Source organism: Homo sapiens, chromosome 19 (genome assembly GCF_000001405.40).
Source record: "Homo sapiens chromosome 19, GRCh38.p14 Primary Assembly".
In the NCBI taxonomy this organism is placed as follows: domain Eukaryota; kingdom Metazoa; phylum Chordata; class Mammalia; order Primates; family Hominidae; genus Homo; species Homo sapiens.
In genome coordinates, this window is record NC_000019.10 from 35,992,230 (window position 1) to 36,009,092 (window position 16,863).

The 16,863-nt window shown below is 53.1% G+C and overlaps 2 protein-coding genes across 11 annotated transcripts, besides 7 other annotated features; one reads left to right on the top strand and one right to left on the bottom strand.

Moving 5' to 3' along the window:
• Positions 1,922-2,421: an enhancer, noted in NCBI's record as "H3K4me1 hESC enhancer chr19:36485053-36485552 (GRCh37/hg19 assembly coordinates)". NCBI's record gives its function as "activates a minimal SCP1, AML or CMV promoter by ChIP-STARR-seq in naive H9 embryonic stem cells {active_cell/tissue: H9 hESC(naive)}" and the evidence as "EXISTENCE:reporter gene assay evidence [ECO:0000049][PMID:30033119]".
• Positions 2,756-2,805: an enhancer, noted in NCBI's record as "active region_14512". NCBI's record gives its function as "activates an Ori minimal core promoter by ATAC-STARR-seq in GM12878 lymphoblastoid cells {active_cell/tissue: GM12878}" and the evidence as "EXISTENCE:reporter gene assay evidence [ECO:0000049][PMID:35858748]".
• Positions 2,959-4,083, top strand: SDHAF1 (succinate dehydrogenase complex assembly factor 1). The gene has a single exon (NM_001042631.3). It carries the CDS (start codon positions 3,046-3,048, stop codon positions 3,391-3,393), a length of 348 nt encoding a protein of 115 aa, NP_001036096.2. The 5' UTR covers positions 2,959-3,045; the 3' UTR covers positions 3,394-4,083.
• Positions 3,066-3,145: an enhancer, noted in NCBI's record as "active region_14513". NCBI's record gives its function as "activates an Ori minimal core promoter by ATAC-STARR-seq in GM12878 lymphoblastoid cells {active_cell/tissue: GM12878}" and the evidence as "EXISTENCE:reporter gene assay evidence [ECO:0000049][PMID:35858748]".
• Positions 3,206-3,265: a silencer, noted in NCBI's record as "silent region_10545". NCBI's record gives its function as "represses an Ori minimal core promoter by ATAC-STARR-seq in GM12878 lymphoblastoid cells {active_cell/tissue: GM12878}" and the evidence as "EXISTENCE:reporter gene assay evidence [ECO:0000049][PMID:35858748]".
• Positions 3,296-3,415: a silencer, noted in NCBI's record as "silent region_10546". NCBI's record gives its function as "represses an Ori minimal core promoter by ATAC-STARR-seq in GM12878 lymphoblastoid cells {active_cell/tissue: GM12878}" and the evidence as "EXISTENCE:reporter gene assay evidence [ECO:0000049][PMID:35858748]".
• On the bottom strand, positions 11,078-16,584 carry SYNE4 (spectrin repeat containing nuclear envelope family member 4). 10 transcript variants are annotated; one of them, NM_001039876.3, is made up of 8 exons: positions 16,325-16,584; positions 15,988-16,138; positions 14,896-15,039; positions 14,521-14,715; positions 14,194-14,442; positions 13,104-13,208; positions 11,384-11,442; positions 11,078-11,291 (listed from the first exon to the last, which is right to left on the bottom strand). In NM_001039876.3, exons 1-8 carry the CDS (start codon positions 16,450-16,452, stop codon positions 11,108-11,110), a joined length of 1,215 nt encoding a protein of 404 aa, NP_001034965.1. In that variant the 5' UTR covers positions 16,453-16,584; the 3' UTR covers positions 11,078-11,107. The 10 variants fall into 10 exon arrangements, with proteins under 10 accessions (NP_001034965.1, XP_047294301.1, XP_047294300.1 ...); XM_047438345.1 differs by lacking the exon at positions 15,988-16,138; XM_047438344.1 differs by lacking the exon at positions 14,896-15,039.
• Positions 15,756-16,297: an enhancer, noted in NCBI's record as "H3K27ac-H3K4me1 hESC enhancer chr19:36498887-36499428 (GRCh37/hg19 assembly coordinates)". NCBI's record gives its function as "activates a minimal SCP1, AML or CMV promoter by ChIP-STARR-seq in primed H9 embryonic stem cells {active_cell/tissue: H9 hESC(primed)}" and the evidence as "EXISTENCE:reporter gene assay evidence [ECO:0000049][PMID:30033119]".
• Positions 16,298-16,837: an enhancer, noted in NCBI's record as "H3K27ac-H3K4me1 hESC enhancer chr19:36499429-36499968 (GRCh37/hg19 assembly coordinates)". NCBI's record gives its function as "activates a minimal SCP1, AML or CMV promoter by ChIP-STARR-seq in primed H9 embryonic stem cells {active_cell/tissue: H9 hESC(primed)}" and the evidence as "EXISTENCE:reporter gene assay evidence [ECO:0000049][PMID:30033119]".

Below are 16,863 nucleotides of genomic sequence, written 5' to 3' on the forward strand. Positions count from 1 at the left end.
TGAGAACAACCTGGGCAACATGGTGAAACCTTGTTTTTATAAGAAATACAAAAATTAGCCAGGCATGGTGGTGAGCGCCTATAGTTCTAGGCCACTGAGGTGGGAAGATCACTTGATCCTGGGAATTTGAGGCTTCAGTGAGTCACAAGCATGCCCCTGCACTCCAGCCTGGGCAACAGAGCAAGACCCTATCTCAAAAAAAAAAAAAAAAAAGGAAAAGACAAAGAAAAAAGGCCAGGCATGGTGGCTCACACCTGTAATCCCAGTACTTTGGGAGGCCGAAGCAGGCGGATCACTTGAGGTCAGGAGTTCTAGACTAGCCTGGCCAATATGGCGAAAACTCGTCTCTACTAAAAATACAAAAATTAGCCGGATGTGGTGGCGCATCCCTGTAGTCCCAGCTACTCAGAAGGCCGAGGCAGGAGAATCGCTTGAACCCGGGAGGCAGAGGTTGCAGTGAATGGAGATCACGCCACTGCACTCCAGCCTGGGTGACAGAGCGAGATTCCATATCAAAAAAAAAAATGCTAATTCTAGGAAAGAAATGGAGAATGGGTATCTGAGACTGCCACAGCCTCATTTTCAAACTACCCCTCTGCCTGCGGGAAGTGATCTCCCACTGCTCCAGGTTGATGATGTACAGTCTAGCAGTCCCAGTGGGGAGACAGCACTTCTTTCTTCACAGTTTCAACAGAAGTCCCGGGTCTGATTCTCATTGTCCCAGTGGAGGTCATTTGCCCATCCCTAAACAATTACAGGGGTCAGGGGATGGGATATTCTGATTTGTCTCTAAGTAGCCAGGCCTGGGCATGTAACAGAGCTGTAGCCAGAGCCAGAGGGCAGGGATATTACCCAGGAAATCCCCTAGAATAAGAGTGGGCCAGTTCCCCAAAGACAAACTGAGAGACTGTAACCAGAAAACCATTGACAGGCCCTGGGCAGGAGGCAATAGTATTCCCTTTGAGGTTTTGCAGCTCCTTGAGTCCACTGGAAAGTAAAGAAAGTCCCCCTAGGCTGATTGACATAGTTGTCTTGGAGATTAAGGGTCATTTGACAGGAAAAAGATAGATGTTTAAATTCCAGAGTACAAGCCAGCATGGTGGCTCATCCCTATTATCCCAGCTACTTGGGAGGATGAGGCCGGAGTTCAAGACCAATCTGGGCCACATAGCAAGACCCTGTCTCTAAAAACAAAACAAAAAATAAATATTTAAAATTCCAGAGTGAAGCCTGGGCAACACAGCGAGACTCTGTCTCTACAAAAAACAATAAAAGAAGAATTAGCCGGGTGTGGTGGGATGTTCACGTAATCCTAACCACTGGACATGTTGAGGCGAGAGGATTGCTTGATCCCAGGAGATCAAGGCTGTAGTTTCACCAATATGGTGAAACCCCGCCTCTACTAAAAATACAAAAATTAGCCCAGTGTGCTGGCACATACCTGTAATTCCAGCTACTGGGGAGGCTGAGGTAGGGAGAATCACTTGAACCTAGAGGCAGAAGTTTCACCATGTGGATCAGGCTGGTGTCGATCTCCCGACCTCAGGTGGTCCGCCCGCCTCGGCCTCCAAAAGTGCTGGAATTACAGGTGTGAGCCACCGTTCTAGGACATGTATTTTTGATAGATACATACACCTGCCAGGCAGGATTCACAGTGGTTTGTGATTCTCCCCTGACTCCAAGACTCCAAGCCTAATCCCCGCCCCTGACCAGCTTCTCCTCTCTGAAGGGGAATGGACCCCCCAGCTGGTTGCCGGCCCAAGTGTGCAGAGCCGCGGTTGCGCGCTGGGTGGAGGGGTCCCCCAAGCTCCGGTGCTGGTGGGGCCCGAGGATGCTGTGTCCTTGCGGGCCTCCCTAGCGCTACGAGGACACCTCCAGGCGGCCCGCGGGGACAACAACGGCATTGCGGCCTACCACCTAAAGCTCCTGGGAGGACAACGGGGTTGCAGTCTAGTCGACTGTTCAGGGTGTCCCGGACTCCGGGCTTTAACAGTCGGTAAGGACCCAAACACCGCTGTCCACTGCCCCGACTCCCACCCGCAGAGGGCGCGACCAACCCAGCTCCTAGAGCCACACGCTGCCTCTGGGGGCTTGGCGCCCACACTCTCTCTGCTTGTCTTCCCCTGGCCCGAGAAGCCTGTCCAACCGGCCGAGAGCCATTTCCCTACGGGGTCTCGTCCCTCTGCACGTGCCCAGGGCTGGGACCCCAGACACAGACCTGCCCCGGACGAGGGAACGCACGGAGCTTCCCAAGATGGTTTGAATCAGTAACTGACGGCAAAAGCACGCTTGTGCCCGGCGTCTCTCCCAGTGCCCCGTGCCCTTGGGACCCAAAGTCCGAACCGGTAGCCGGGCGCGGTGGCTCACGCCTGGAATCCCAACACTTTGGGAGGCTGAGAATCGTTTGAGCCCAGGAGTTCGAGCCATTCTGGGCAACATAGGGAGACCCATCTCTGCAAATAATAATAATAATAAATAAATAAATAAATAAATAAATAAATAAATAAATAGCGGGCGCGGTTGCGCGCGTCTGTGGTTCCAGCTACTAGGGGAGTTGAGGTGGGAGGATCGCTTGGGCCCAGGAGTTCGAGGCTGCAGTGAGCCAAGATCGCGCCACTGCACTCCAGCCTGGGCGACAGCGAGACCCCGTCACACACAAAAAAACCCCTAGCTTCCTCTTCTCCCAGAATGCAGGAGTTAGGTGAGGACCCTCTGTTCCCTCCAACCCAAGACCTAGGAGTCCGAACACATAACGCCCTCCAGGCGGTGCCAGGATCCCCAGAACTGCTGTCCCCTCAAGAACACACGTCCCCTACGTGGGAGGCCGCGACCAGCGACTCCGCCCACTTCTCCCAGCCGGCTGTTACGTAACTGCAACGACAGCCAGTCAGACGCGGCAGCGCCGGATGGCGGGAGGCGGGAGTTGGAGGCCAAGGGAAGCGCTGGGCGGAAGTGGCTGTGGCTTTGCCCTTTGGCCTTTGCTGGCTGTGTGGCGGCTCCGCGGTTCGCAGGTCGTTCGCTGAGCGTCTCTGCTTAGCCGCGGTCATGAGCCGGCACAGCCGGCTGCAGAGGCAGGTTCTGAGCCTGTACCGCGATCTGCTGCGCGCCGGGCGTGGGAAGCCGGGCGCCGAGGCGCGAGTGCGGGCAGAGTTCCGGCAGCATGCGGGCCTGCCGCGGTCCGACGTGCTGCGCATCGAGTACCTGTACCGCCGCGGGCGGCGCCAGCTGCAGCTGCTACGCTCGGGCCACGCCACCGCCATGGGCGCCTTCGTACGCCCGCGGGCCCCGACCGGGGAGCCTGGCGGCGTGGGTTGCCAGCCTGACGACGGCGACAGTCCAAGGAACCCCCACGACAGCACGGGGGCACCGGAGACCCGCCCCGACGGACGGTGACAGGCGAAGAGCCGAACTCGCTCGATGGCGTGGTGGAGCCAGGAGGCTCGCCTGACTGCATGGGGGGACTGGGGAACCCGCCTAAGGTGAGAGGTCTTAAGAGACTAGCTTGACGAATTGGGGATGTCAGAGACTCCTCCTTGGCGACGCAGGGGGCCTAGAGAGCCCCGTGATGGACGGCAAGGGAGGCCCGCCTTTTCCGATGCTTGGAGACAGGTCGGTGCTCCTCCCCCATGAGGGCTTGGGGCGGCCTGGGACGCTGGCGGGCTGGACAGTGTCAAGCCAAGAGCTACTTGCCCGAAGGTACGGGGAGCCAGGACGACCCCCGGTGGACAGGGAGAGCCTGAGACGCCCTTCTCTTGACCCCTGAGAACATACCCACTTCTGGCTCCTCAAGGAGTCTCCCCTCTCCTGTATTTAACTCTGAGAAGTGCAGACTTTTTGCTGAGAACGTTTTGGGAAGGTGCCCTGATGAGCGGTGAGAAGCCCGGAATCCCCTTCTGGAAAACTTTCCCCCATTAATTGTGACAAGCCAGGACCATGAGGAAGGGGTAGGGGTCTATCACCCTGGTTGATCAACTGAAGACCCCCAAAGGCCCCTACTTGATGGTTTTGAGGGGCAACATTGACTCATTTGCCCCTTCCCTCTCGGAATGTTGGACAAAGGGAATAAAATTGGGGATATGTCTACTTCCCTGTTGGTGGTCTTAAAGCTTTTATATATTTCAGGATTTTTGAAACACCCCCAGCCCCCCTGCCACCACACACACACGCACACAGACACCTGGAAGGGACCATCTGGGAGGTGATAGGTGTGGGGATCTGACTCCTTCCGGAGCCCTGTAGACTGGCACATTGATTGAAGCGGCATAGTTTTCTCCCCTGGGCAGATCTGTGGAGGGGGCTCATCCTGGCTTAACCCCCAAAGATACCCCAGTTGGCTCCCTAATGGAGGGCAAGTGATTTAACATCTTTGTGTGGAAGAGGAAATGGTGGAGCTGAGAACTGGCTCGGAGCCCCTGAGGCAGTAGTGAGGGTCTCAGACCTGGAAATTTCTCAAACCTGGCTGAAGGGTCCAGCCTCAGCTACAGTGAACGACAAGGCCCTGGGGCAGGAGAGGGGAGATGAACCCCATAGATCACAGATATACTCCCTCCGGTGTCCCCATATGGGCCTGCCCTAGACATTCTGTGGAGGGATGCATTTTGCATCGCTGAGCTATATTTGCACCCATATCAGTTAAATAAGTGGAAATGAGTTCTTGTGGATGTAGCTGTGGGTAGGAGGACCACAGGTAAGGAGCATAGACCTCAGACCAAAGGGAGGATGGACGGAAGAGAAACAGTCACTGCCCTAATCCCGGTGGGGGAGCCACATTCCCAAATGGTTATAAAGTGGAATTGCAGTTTGAAGAATTAATTGCCGGGATAGGCTTCTAGGCAAGAAGACCAAGGCTGGGCGCAGTGGCTCACTCCTGTAATCCCAGCACTTTTGGAGGCCAAGATGGGCGGATCACGAGGTCAGGAGTTCCAGACCAGCCTGGCCAATATGGTGAAACCCCGTCTCTACTAAAAATACAAAAATTAGCCAGGCGTGGTGGTGGGCACCTGTAATCCCAGCTACTCAGGAGGCTAAGGCAGGAGAATCGCTTGAACCCTGGAGGCAGAGGTTGCAATGAGCCAAGATCACGCCACTGCACTCCAGCCTGGGCGACAGAGCGAAACTACGTCTCAAAAAAAAAAAAAGACCAGTGTGGGGAAAGGCCTGGAGGGGGCAAAGGGAAGAAATGCAGGGTCTCAGGATCTCAGCTGGGGCCCGGAGTGCCCCAGGCACAAGGCTGTGGGTTTACTTGATTGTGGCTTCTACTTCTGCTTTGTCTCAGGTTTGTCCTCACCATGGGACTTCAGCCACCTCATTCATCTCTCTCAGCCTCAATTTCTTCCATCAGGGTGATCATGTTAGTCATCTCCTGGCTCCATCTCAAAAGCCAAAGACCAGTGGGGTCCTACTCATCCAGCCCCCCAATTACATCTTCAGCTGCATCTCCTGCCACCCCCTCACTCCTGGCTCCATGATCTTGAGCCCTGACAAGCCCCAGGATTGGAGCTCCTGGCAGGGCTGCAGGCAGGGATCGAGTTTTCAATGGGGTCTGGCATCCTGGGTCAGGAGAGAAGTCACATTAACCTGGGTGTTAACAGATGAATGAGATTTTCCCGGTAGAGAGGATGGAGGAATGCCTGATTTGAGGGAGGAGCTGTGCAGATGAATAGTGGCTAAGAGCACGGACCCGGGAATGGGAAGGCAGGGTTTGAATCCCAGCTCCCATACTTACTGATTATGTGATCACAGGCGAGTGATTTAACTTTTTTTTTTTTTTTTTGAGACAGGGTCTCTGTCACCCAGGCTGGAGTACAGTGGCACAGCTCACTGCAGCCTCGACTTCCCGGGCTCAAGTGATCCTTCCACTTCAGCCTTCTGAGTAGCTGGGACTACAGGCGTGCACCACCACACCCAGATAATATTTTTATTGTTTATTTTATTTTATTTATTTATTTTTGAGACAGAGTTTTGCTCTTGTTGCCCAGGCTGGAGTGCAATGGTGCGCTCAGCTCACCACAACCTCCGCTTCCCAGGTTCAAGCCATTCTCCTGCCTCAGCCTCCTGATTACCTGGGATTACAGGCATATGCCACCATGCCTGGCTAATTTTTGTATTTTTAGTTAAGATGGGGTTTCACCATGTTGACCAGGCTGGTCTTGAACTCCTGACCTCAGGTGATCTGTCCACCTCGGCTTCCCAGAGTGCTGGGATTACAGGTGTGAGCCAGCGTGCCTGGCCTATTCTTTATTTTTCGGAGACAGGGTCTCACTGTGTTGCCCAGGCTGGTCTCAAACTCTTGAGCTGAAGCGGTCCTCCCACCTCAGCCTCCCAAAGTGCTGAGATCACAGTCATGAGCCACCATGCCCAGCCTGATTTAACCTTTTTGCCTGAATGCCCTTATCAGTGAAATGGGCTTAATAAGAGCCTCCCTGATGTGGCCATTATGATGGTACAGTGAATTAAATGCCTGTTGTGAGGCCAGGCGCAGTGGCTCACGCCTATAATCCCAGCACTTTGGGAGGCTGAGGTGGGCAGATCACCTGAGGTCAGGAGTTCAAGACCAGCCTGACCAGCATGGAGAAACCCTGTCTCTACTAAAAAATATAAAATTAGCCAGGCATAGTGGTACATGCCTGTAAGCCCAGCTACTCAGGAGGCTGAGGCAGGAGAATTGCTTGAACCCGGGAGGCAGAGGTTGCGGTGAGCCAAGATCGTGCCATTGTACTCCAGTCTGGGCAACGAGAGTGAGACTCCATCTCAAAAAAAAAAACAAACCCTGTTGTGACAGCAGATGATGAGGCCTGACCCCCACCCATGGCCCTCCTGCCCTCTTGGGTTCACTTGCAACTGTAGAAGCAGGTTCTCAGGAGGCTGCAGCCTCCTCCCCTGAGCCCCTGCATCTCTGTTGCTCTGCCTGAGGGCTTCCTGGGAGTCCTGGAAGGTGGGTTAATGTGCTCAGAGGCAACCCTCAGCCTGTAGGGGGCAGCAGTCACTGGATGAGCGCCCTGGCCCACCTCTCATCTGGTGGGACAACATGTGTTCTGCAGGGTTCCTCAGGGGCACCCATGGAATGGAGCCCCAGTTGCCCACAGTGGTGTCCACTCCATGAGCACCTTTTTTGGCTTTTCCCCTGCCCTGTCTCTTCCCCACTCCCGCTTCCTGGGATCACATCCCAGATAAATCATCACCCGAGTCCTTGGCTCCAAGGATGCTTATGTGTCAAGCATGGAACAGTGCCCAGTTCTCTGCTGATCCTCTGTGTGCATCTGCTGCTCTGTTTTTTGTTTGTTTTTGAGACAGAGTCTCACTCTGTTGCCCAGGCTGGAGTGCAGTGGCGCAATCTTGGCTCACTGCAACCTCCGCTTCCCAGGTTCAAGCACTCCTCCTGCCTCAGCCGCCCCCCGCCCCCAACCCCGCTCGCCACGAGTAGCTGGGATTATAGGTACCTGCCACCATACCCGGCTATTTTGTTTTGTTTTGTTTTGTATTTTTAGTAGACACGGGGTTTCACCATGTTGGCCAGGCTGGTCTCAAACTCTTGAAGTGATCTGCCCACCCCGGCCTCCCAGAGTGCTGGGATTATATGTGTGAAGCACCGCGCCTGGGCTGCTGTTCTGTATTTTACTCTGCTAAGGCACAGGGTCAATGTTTCTCAATCCCTTGACCCATCTGTTAAACAAGAAATCCCCTGATCTAAGAAAATGGCTATAAAAGACATACAGGGATTAGAGTAATTTAGACTACAGAGTGAGTTAAAAATAGAACTGGGTTGTTAAATTTTCTGATTTTGATAACTACTAGAATTGTGTGAGAAAATGGCCTTGTTCTTAAGACATACACACTGAAGAATGTAGGAGTAAAAAGGCCTCGTGTCTGCAACTTACTCTCAAATGGTTCCAAAACATATGCACTGATATAAATATATTAGCAAGGGTATGGATGGTAAATCACAAGGAGCAAAGTGTTAACCACTTTGAATCTGGGTAAGGGCATATGGGAGTTTGTTCTAGTTTTAAAAGGTTTCCCAACACTTGGGGAGGTTGAGGTGGGCCGATCACTTAAGCCCAGGAGTTTGAGACCAGCCTGGGCAACACAGGGCTTGAGCTGCCATGCTCGGCCTAAATTTTAAAATTGAAGTATTTTAAATGTAAATGTAATGTGAAAGTATTTTGAATGTAAAATATTTTTTGTTACACAACTTCATTGTTTTAGTAGGACTGTATTGCATTTTACCTGTTAAAAATTTGGCATCTGAATTAAGATGTGCTGTAAGTGTGAAATACACACTAGATTTCAAAGACTTAGTAAGAAAAACAGATTGTAAAAGATCTCATTATTTTTATATTGACTACATATTGAAGTGATAATATTTTAGACATGTCAGGTTAAATAGAATATAAGTTAAATTATTAAAATTAATCCATTTTTACTGTTTTAATGTGACTGCTAGAAAATTTGTAACTACATCTGTGGCTCACATTCTATTCTTTTTTTTCTTTTTTCTTTTTTTGAGACAGTCTCATTCTGTCACCCAGGCTGGAGTGCAGTGGCGTGATCTTGGCTCACTGCAACCTCTGCCTCCTGGGTTGAAGTGATCTTCCTGCCTTAGCCTCCCGAGTAGCTAAGATTAACAGGCACCTGCCACCATGCCCAGCTAATTTTTGTATCTTTAGTAGAGACGGAGTTTCATCATGTTGACCAGGCTGGTCTTGAACCCCTGTCCTCAAGTGATCCGCCTGCCTTGGCCTCCCAAAGTGCTGGGATTACAGGCGTGATCCACCACCCCAGCCTCACATTCGATTTCCACTGGACAGCACTATTCTAGGAGTTCCCATGGCCTGTTTCCTCACTACAATCTGCTCTCATGGCAAAATTTTAACATAGTGGCTCCATTCTACTGACTCCCTGATGCCTTCTTCAACCACATTGTTTGAGTTGTGCCCCCTTCCTCTTGCTCACTTTTTCTCCTCAGCACTTACCACCCTGTGACCCACTACAATTTCACTTATTTCTTTTAGTTATTGTCAATTTCCCCAAGTAGAATATCAGCTCCAGAGGCATCGTCTTGTTCACTGTCGTGTCTCTGCTCCTTGACCAGGACCTGACACATAGCAGACAGTCAATATTTGTTAAATGAACGAATGACACAGATATGCTCCATTACCGAGCCTGTTGGGTCAATATTGCCAAGACTGCACCCCCTATTTGCTGGTGATCTCAGGGGGACCATGCCTCTTTGGTTGATGCCAGAGTCTCAGCCTGGCCTTTGAAACAGGACAAATCCGGTTTGCATCCTGACTTTTCCCTGAACCTGGAGTCTCTCCCAGAATCTGCAGCTTCCCCCACCCCATCAGTGTCTGTTCCCCTCTTCTAGTAGCAACAACTTGATACTCTTTGGAGACCCACGCTTCTGCCATTTTCAGTCCACATGGTTTAGGTGGGGCTGACCGCAGCCCCCAGCAAAGGTGGAGCATGTGACGGAAGCCAGAGGAGCCAACCTTGGGACTTTGGTTGGAACTACAAAGGAACAGTGACTCTACTATTGGCTGCTAAATTGGTGGGGTGTGTGTCACAGTGGAGGGAGGCTTAGCATGACTGACTCCATTTTGCCCCTGACACCCTGCAGTAACATCCTTTAGGTTAAAAGCTTCTGCTTAGTTTTGTGTGTAGATCAGCTAATTACAGGAGGAATTTAGTTTATAGCTCAATTTTAGAAAAAATAGCAGTCCCTTTCCCAAAACTAACCACCCCACCAAGAGATCAGGAAACTGTACACACAAGTAACAATGTTATACTAGAGATTTACAAGAATATTGTGACCTGACCTACATCATCAAAGAAGTTTTCTTCTGGACTCTTGCTGGCGACCAGATGTCTGCAGTCATTGGTCACCTAACCTCAACCCCCTTCCCTTAGCATAAAAAGAAACCTAAAATTTATACTAAGTTGAGATGGTTCTTTTTTTTTTTTTTTGAGACAGAGTCTCACTCTGTCACCCAGGCTGGAGTGCAGTGGCGCAATCTTGGCTCACTGCAAGCTCCGCCTCCCGGGCTCACGCCATTCTCCTGCCTCAGCCTCCCAAGTAGCTGGGACTACAGGTGCCCGCCACCACGCCCGGCTAATTTTTTGTATTTTTCATAGAGACGAGGTTTCACCGTGTTAGCCAGGATGGTCTCAATCTCCTGACCGCATGATCCGCCCACCTCAGCCTCCTAAAGTGCTGGGATTACAGGCGTGAGTCACCGCGCCCGGCCGAGATGGTTCTTTAGGACACTAGTCTGCCATCTTCTTGGTTTGCTGTCTCTCCAAATGAAGTTGCTTGCTTTTTTTTTTTGCTTTTTTTTTTTTTTTTTTTTTGAGACGGAGTCTTGCTCTCCCCCAGGCTGGAGTGCAGTGACACGATCTCGGCTCACTGTACCCTCCACCTCCCAGGTTCAAAAGATTTGTAAAAATACAAACGTTAGCCAGGTGTGGTGGCGCATGCCTGTGGTACTAGCTACTTGGGAGGCTGAGGCCAGAGAATCAATTGAACCCAGGAGGCAGAGGTTGCAGTGAGCCGAGATCGTGCCACTGCACTCAAGCCTGGGCAACAGCGAGACCCTGTCTCAAAAAAAAAAAAAAAACTAGCCTGGCATAGTGGCACACGCCTATAATCCCAGCTACTCTGGAGTGTAAGGCAGGAGAATCGCTTGAATCCTGGAGGCAGAGTTTGCAGTGAGCTGAGATTGTGCCATTGCACTCCAGCCTAGGGAAGAGTGAGACTCTATCTCAAAAAAAAAAAAAGCCACAACTTCTTTGTCCCTAGGGTACAACCAGCAATGGGATGACACCCCAGGTGCCCAGTGCAGCAACCAGTAACTCACCCAGTATTGGCTTTCTCCCTTCCTGAGCTCACGTCCTGGCTCCCCTGCCACGCCTAAATAAAGAACTGGTGCTTGACTCTTTGTGTCAGGGTCTGGGGCAGCCCCACCCAAGATGGGCTGATGCAGTTCTGTATTCTGTTCTCAAGGCAAAAGGGTCCATCCAGACATATCCAGGCCACATCCTAGATTCCGGGTATGAAGGCACCTAGTATCTTCACACATCCTTTGACAGTGACCATTTATTACACACATCAGACTGGGGGAAGACCATTGACATAGCTGAGCACCAGGTAGGGTGTCCTGGGTATTCGGGCATGAGAGCAGCAGGGGCCTCCTGACGCGGGCAGGAGAAACATGGCACCCACCAGGAGGAGGAAGAGGAGGAAGAGGATAAGGAGGAAGGTCAGAGGCTGCCTGGATGCAGGATCGGGGGCCCTGTGAAGGGAAATGCAGTGTTAAACATACAGGTGGGCTGCTGCTAGGAGCTCTGTCCCCCACACCCTAGTCCCATCTCTCAGGCACCTCACCCTGGATTCCCCTCCAGCCTCACATCCTGGAGATGAGGAGATGCTTGCCTCTTCTTGTCCTAAGGAGGGAGAGCAGCCAGCAGCAGAATGGATAGAAATGATGCTTTATTTGTTTATTTATTTTGAGACGGAGTCTCACTCTTGGCACCCACGCTGGACTGCAATGGCTCAATCTCAGCTCACTGCAACCTCAGCCTCCCGGGTTCAAGCAATTCTCCTGCCTCAGCCTCCCGAGCAGCTGGGACTACAGGTGCCACCATGCCCAGCTCATTTTTGTATTTTTAGTAGAGATGGAGTTTCACCATGTTGGCCAGGCTGGTCCCAAACTCCTGACCTCAAGTGATCCGCCCACCTCAGCCTCCCAAACTGCTGGGATTACAGGCATGAGCCACCACACCTGGCCGACACATTATTTTTTGAGACAGGGTCTCAGTCACCCAGGCTGGAGTGCAGTTTCACAATCACGACTCATGGCAGCCCCAACCTCCTGGGCTCAGGTGATCCTCTTACCTCAGCCTCCCTAATAGCTGGGACCACAGGCACATGCCACTGCAACCATTTACTTTTGTTTAATGATTTGTAGAGATGGGGGGAGGGGGCAGGTCTCACCATGTTGCTCAGGCTGGTCTTGAACTCCTGGCCTTAAGCAATCCTCCTGCCTTGACCTCCCAAAGTGTTGGGATCACAGGCGTGAACCACGGTGCCCAGCCACAAGTGACACTTTGTGTCACCTTTACCCTACTACGATAGACCTACAAAGCTGGTCTTATTTCTTCTCCTTTCCTGGCACCTCCTTATCCCCAGGACCCCACACAGACTTGGAATATCTCCAAGTGTAGTGGATGTCTGGTTGTGTCTGTCCTTTATCCAATACAATCCCCCTTTTTCTGATAACAGTGCCTTAATTGGAGGTGGGCGGCTGTCATGCCTTCCACTCCCAGACCTTCAGGTTCAAGTGAAGCTGACAGCCACCTCCCCAACTTCCATGATTGGTGTGACCCAGACCTGGCCAATCTGAGCACTCTGGTTTATTCAAGGTGCAGCCCATGACCCCATCCGGTAAGTGGGAGTCAGCCCTGGGACTTTGGCAGCTGTCAGTAGGGTCGGAGGCATGCTCCTTCCCCTGGGGTGGGTAAACCAGTGGGAGTGGCAGTGTAGCCACTGGAGCACCCATTTTGCTAAGAAGGAAGCCACCTTGGGGACTTAGAGCCCAAGAAAGGGAGGGACTGAGCCCTGATGTTATTTCTTTCTTTCTTTTTTTTTTTTTTTTTTTTTTTTTTGTTGAGATGGGGTCTCACTATGTTGCTCAGACTGGAGTGCAGTGGTGGGATCTCGGCTCACCGCAACCTCCGCCTCCCGGGCTCAAGCGATTCTCCTCCTGAGTAGCTGGGATTACAGGCATGCGCCACCACACCTGGCTAATTTTTGTAGTTTTAGTAGAGACGGGGTTTCACCATTTTGGCCAGGCTGGTCTCGTACTCCTGACCTCAGGTAATCCACCCACCTCAGCCTCCCAAAGTGCTGGGATTACAGGCGTGAGCCACTGCGCCTGGCCTGGCCCTGGTATTACTTCAGGCTCTGAATTCAACAGTGCCTGGACCTTTCCATTACTTTTTTTTTTTTTAATAGCATTCCCTTTCTTGTGCCTTTTGATTTCTTGGGTTTCTGTCACTTGCCATCAAGATTCCTGAGTGCTACACCTGGTTGAGAACTGGCTCACCTGAGGCTTCCGGAGCAGGGAGTGTCTTTGGTGACGTGCTAAGCGTTTCTGGTGGCCGAGGCCAGACTCCAGCATGTCCTGTCGGGAGTGAGAGGTGTCTGCTTCCTGGAGAACCAGCAACAAAGAAAAACGTGGTTGGGGGAGGGCCAGGATAGGGATGTCATAGAGATGAGATTCTGGGGGAGCAGAGAGATCTCACAGGACAGACAAAGGCAGAGCCAAAGAAACCAAGAGAGGAGAGAATTATTTATTCATTCATTCAATAAATGTGTAATGAGTTTCTGTTACAAGCCAGGAACTGTTCTAGGAGCTGAGGACACAGTGGGGATGGAAATAGGCAAATTCCTGGCCTCCGTGGAGCTTATATTTGACAGGAGAGAGACCATAAATTAATAAGTAAATGAGGCCTGGTACAGTGGCTTATGCCTGTAATCCCAGCACTTTGGGAGGCCAAGGCAGGCGGATCACCTGAGGTCAGGCGTTCGAGACTAGCCTGGCCAACATGATGAAACCCCATCTCTACTAAAAATACAAAAATTAGCCAGGAATGGTGGTGCACACCTGTAATCCCAGCTACTCGGGAGGCCGAGGTAGGAGAATCTCTTGAACCTGGGAGGCAGAGTTTGCAGTGAGCCAGGATTGCACCACTACACTCCAGCCTGGGTGACAGAGTGAGACTCCATCTCAAAAAATAAATAAAAATTTTTAAAAATAAGTAAATGTACAAAGTCAAGCTGTGGTGAGTGCTGTTAGGAAATAAAGTAAGAAGATAGGAGTGCTCATGTTTGGAGGTCACGACAGGCCTCCCTGAAGAGGTGGCACTTCAGGAGAGACTGGGACAGTCAGGAGGTGAGTGGGGCATCATCTGGGGGCCTCAGGATAGGAGTGAATTTGAGATGGGGCTTGAGGATGTAGACAGAGACAGACGAGAGAGAGAAACAGTGAGATAGAAGGAGACACCGAGAGACAGAGATAGAGGGGGAGACAGAGCCACTGACACCTCCTTGGAAGGGCAGGATCTTGCTAGAAGGTGCGCAGAGATGTCCCCAGGGTGCCTGGCAGAAGGTCCCTCAAGGGGGTCTGCTCTCACCTCAAGGCCTTGTCCCCTGCCCTGGGGCCCCCTCTGGCCACACAGCTCACAGGGCACTCCTAGTGTCCGGGCTGTCTTTTGTCCCAAGGGCCCAAGGCCCCCAATGTCCCCCGCCGGATCCCACTCCAACTCTGTGGAAGTGGGGAGGCTACTGGGTGCCCAGGGCCCCCAGACCCCACCAGGTCCTGGCCAGTCCGAGTCTCCCTCGACCTCCAAGTCCTGGTCCAGCGTGTTGGCCTCCTCGAACACCTGGGTCAAAGGACAGAGGTCATGGAGGCTATGAGGTTGGGGCCTGGGTTGGGTGGGGGGTATCAAGATGGGCCCTACCAGGCTGTAGCTGACCAGCTGGGCCTGCAGCTGCCAGAGCCGCCGGAAGATGGAGTCTCGGTAAGCTCCCAGGGCCCGCAGGATCTGCTCCAGGGCTGCCCAGGCCCTGGGCTCACTCCGCTGTGCCAGCCCCTCACCAAACGCTAGCAGCGCCTCCACACGCTCAGCTGCCCCTCGTAGGTCCACCTGGAGGGCCTGGGGACATATGGACATCACCCCACGCACACACCAGGGACCCAAAACCTGGAGTTACCCCCCTCCCCCATTTCCTATCCAAAGGCCTGGAACATGCACTCAACCCATTTCCCATCCCGGAAAGCTGGCACCCACTGCTGGGGCCGTGCCCACCCCCACATCCTGGCCTCTCCTGCCTACCTGCAGCTGCACCATCCCACTCTGGGCCAATGCCCAGTGCCCCAGGCCTTGCTCCAGGTCCTGCAGCCGGCGGCCCAGCCCCAGCAGGCACAGGTGCAGGCTGTTCTGCTCAGCCTCTAGTACCTCCAGGCCAGAAATGGGGTGCTGGGGAACACAGGAGCCAGGTCAGGGCCAGTGGGCCAATCAAGATATCACCCCTGCTCCCATCCCCACCCCTCTTCTGTAAGCTTCTGGAAACTTCTCTGTGGCACAGTCCATCTCCGGGTCTGTCTGCACCAGGATGGCTCCCACTGGGGGGGCCTTCCCAGTGGAGCCAGGCCTGAGGACAGATATCTAGTTCAAGGTCTCCAGGTTTTCAAAGCTCCTGGAAACTTGGATGTGTGAGGCCTGGGGGGTCTGGACAGGGAGCGGGGCTGGGTACCCCCCAAGAAGAATGGGGCTACACCAGGAGCAATGATGAAATGCTTCTCAGCCGGGCGCAGTGGTTCACATCTGTAATCCCAGCACTTTGGGAGGCCGAGGCCCGAGGATCACTTGAGCCCAGGAGTTCAAGACCAGCCTGGGCAACATGGTGAGACATCATCTCTACTTTTTTTTTTTTAATAAAAAAGAAATATGGCTGGACACGGTGACGCACGCCTGTAATCCCAGCACTTCGGGAGGCTGAGGTGGGTGGATCACCTGAGGTCGGGAGTTCGAGACTAGCCTGGCCAACAAGTCGAAAACCCATCTCTACTAAAAATACAAAAAATTAGCCAGGTATGGTGGCATGTGCCTGTAATCCCAGCTACTCGGGTGGCTGAGGCAGGAGAATCACTGGGACCTGGGAGGCGGAGGTTGCAGTGAGCAGAGATCTCACCACTGCATTCCAGCCTAGGTGACAGAGAGACTCCATCTCAAAAAAAAAAAGAAAGAAAGAAATACGTCTCCCCAGTTGGTCAGATATTGAAACACTTTTCCAGAAGGTCCCTCCCCCTACAGACACCCAACACCTTTCCAGAATCATCACCCGGTCCTCAGTATGGAGGCCAGACTCCAGGGGACAGAGAGGAGGTGGGGCTGGCACAAGGGGTCTGGGTCACCTCAGCTCACCTCACAGTGTTTGCCCCCAGCTGGGTCCTCGTAGGAAGAGGGTGTTGACCATCTCGGGGGGTGAGCGGCAGGCTCATTGCCCCTTGGCCCACCCTGGAAGTGCTCAGGAGGGCCCAAGGAGTCCTGTCCCAGGGTCTGGGCCTGCTCTGGGCTAGGAGGCAGGGGGCGGTGACTGGGTGAGTCTCGACACCTCACTTTTCAGCCTACCGTCACCCCAACCCTGGTGGCCTCTCCTATGTCCCCAGGCGATCACAGCCATGGCACCTCCTACCCTCACATGGCCCCTGCCACCACGCCTACCCTTTTGGGAACAAGCTTCCAAAGCCCCGGCCCCCACCTCGTGCTCTCCTCTCCGGACGCGGGGCAGACGGTGCATCCAACAATGTCCGCCTCTCTAGGTGCTCCCGGTGGGTGGTTGAGGGGCTCTGAGCCAAGTCTAGGGCCCAGAGGCAGGGACAGGGCCATGGCTGGGGGCCTGGGGACACAAAGTCAGGTGAGGGCAGCCAGTAAGACCTCTTCCCTAGACAAGGGTGTCCCAGAGCTCCTCCGCTGGAGTCACCCGGGCCTGAGGCTGCAGGAGAGGCCCAGGACAGGTCTGGCTCCGCCCCTTCCAAGAGGAACCTGGACCCGGCCATTTGATGCCCAGCTCAGGTGACAGAAGAGTCACTTAACTCCTTCCTCCCTAGCAGGCCAGTAGCTAAATCTCCCAGCATCACTCCACGCCATCCAAGAGGGTTCCAGATAGAACCCCTGCGCCACCTCCTCAAGAGCCCTGGATTCTGCCCCACTGGGAACCCAGAAATCGGACCTCCAGGGCCTACCCCATTCATTTAAGACCCTAGATGCCGCTCCCCTCAGGAAACCAAGCATCTGGCC

What these genes read in the sequence shown, in the direction of transcription:
- SYNE4 (NM_001039876.3), bottom strand. Translation starts at nt 16,452, where the DNA reads ATGGCCCTGTCCCTGCCTCTGGGCCCTAGACTTGGCTCAGAGCCCCTC. An exon ending in TCCGGAGAGGAGAGCACGAG is followed by an intron (nt 16,139 to 16,324) that starts GTGGGGGCCGGG and finishes CCTGCCTCCTAG; the next exon opens with CCCAGAGCAGGCCCAGACCC. An exon ending in GTGGGATGGTGCAGCTGCAG is followed by an intron (nt 14,716 to 14,895) that starts GTAGGCAGGAGA and finishes ATATGTCCCCAG; the next exon opens with GCCCTCCAGGTGGACCTACG.
- SDHAF1 (NM_001042631.3), top strand. Translation starts at nt 3,046, where the DNA reads ATGAGCCGGCACAGCCGGCTGCAGAGGCAGGTTCTGAGCCTGTACCGC.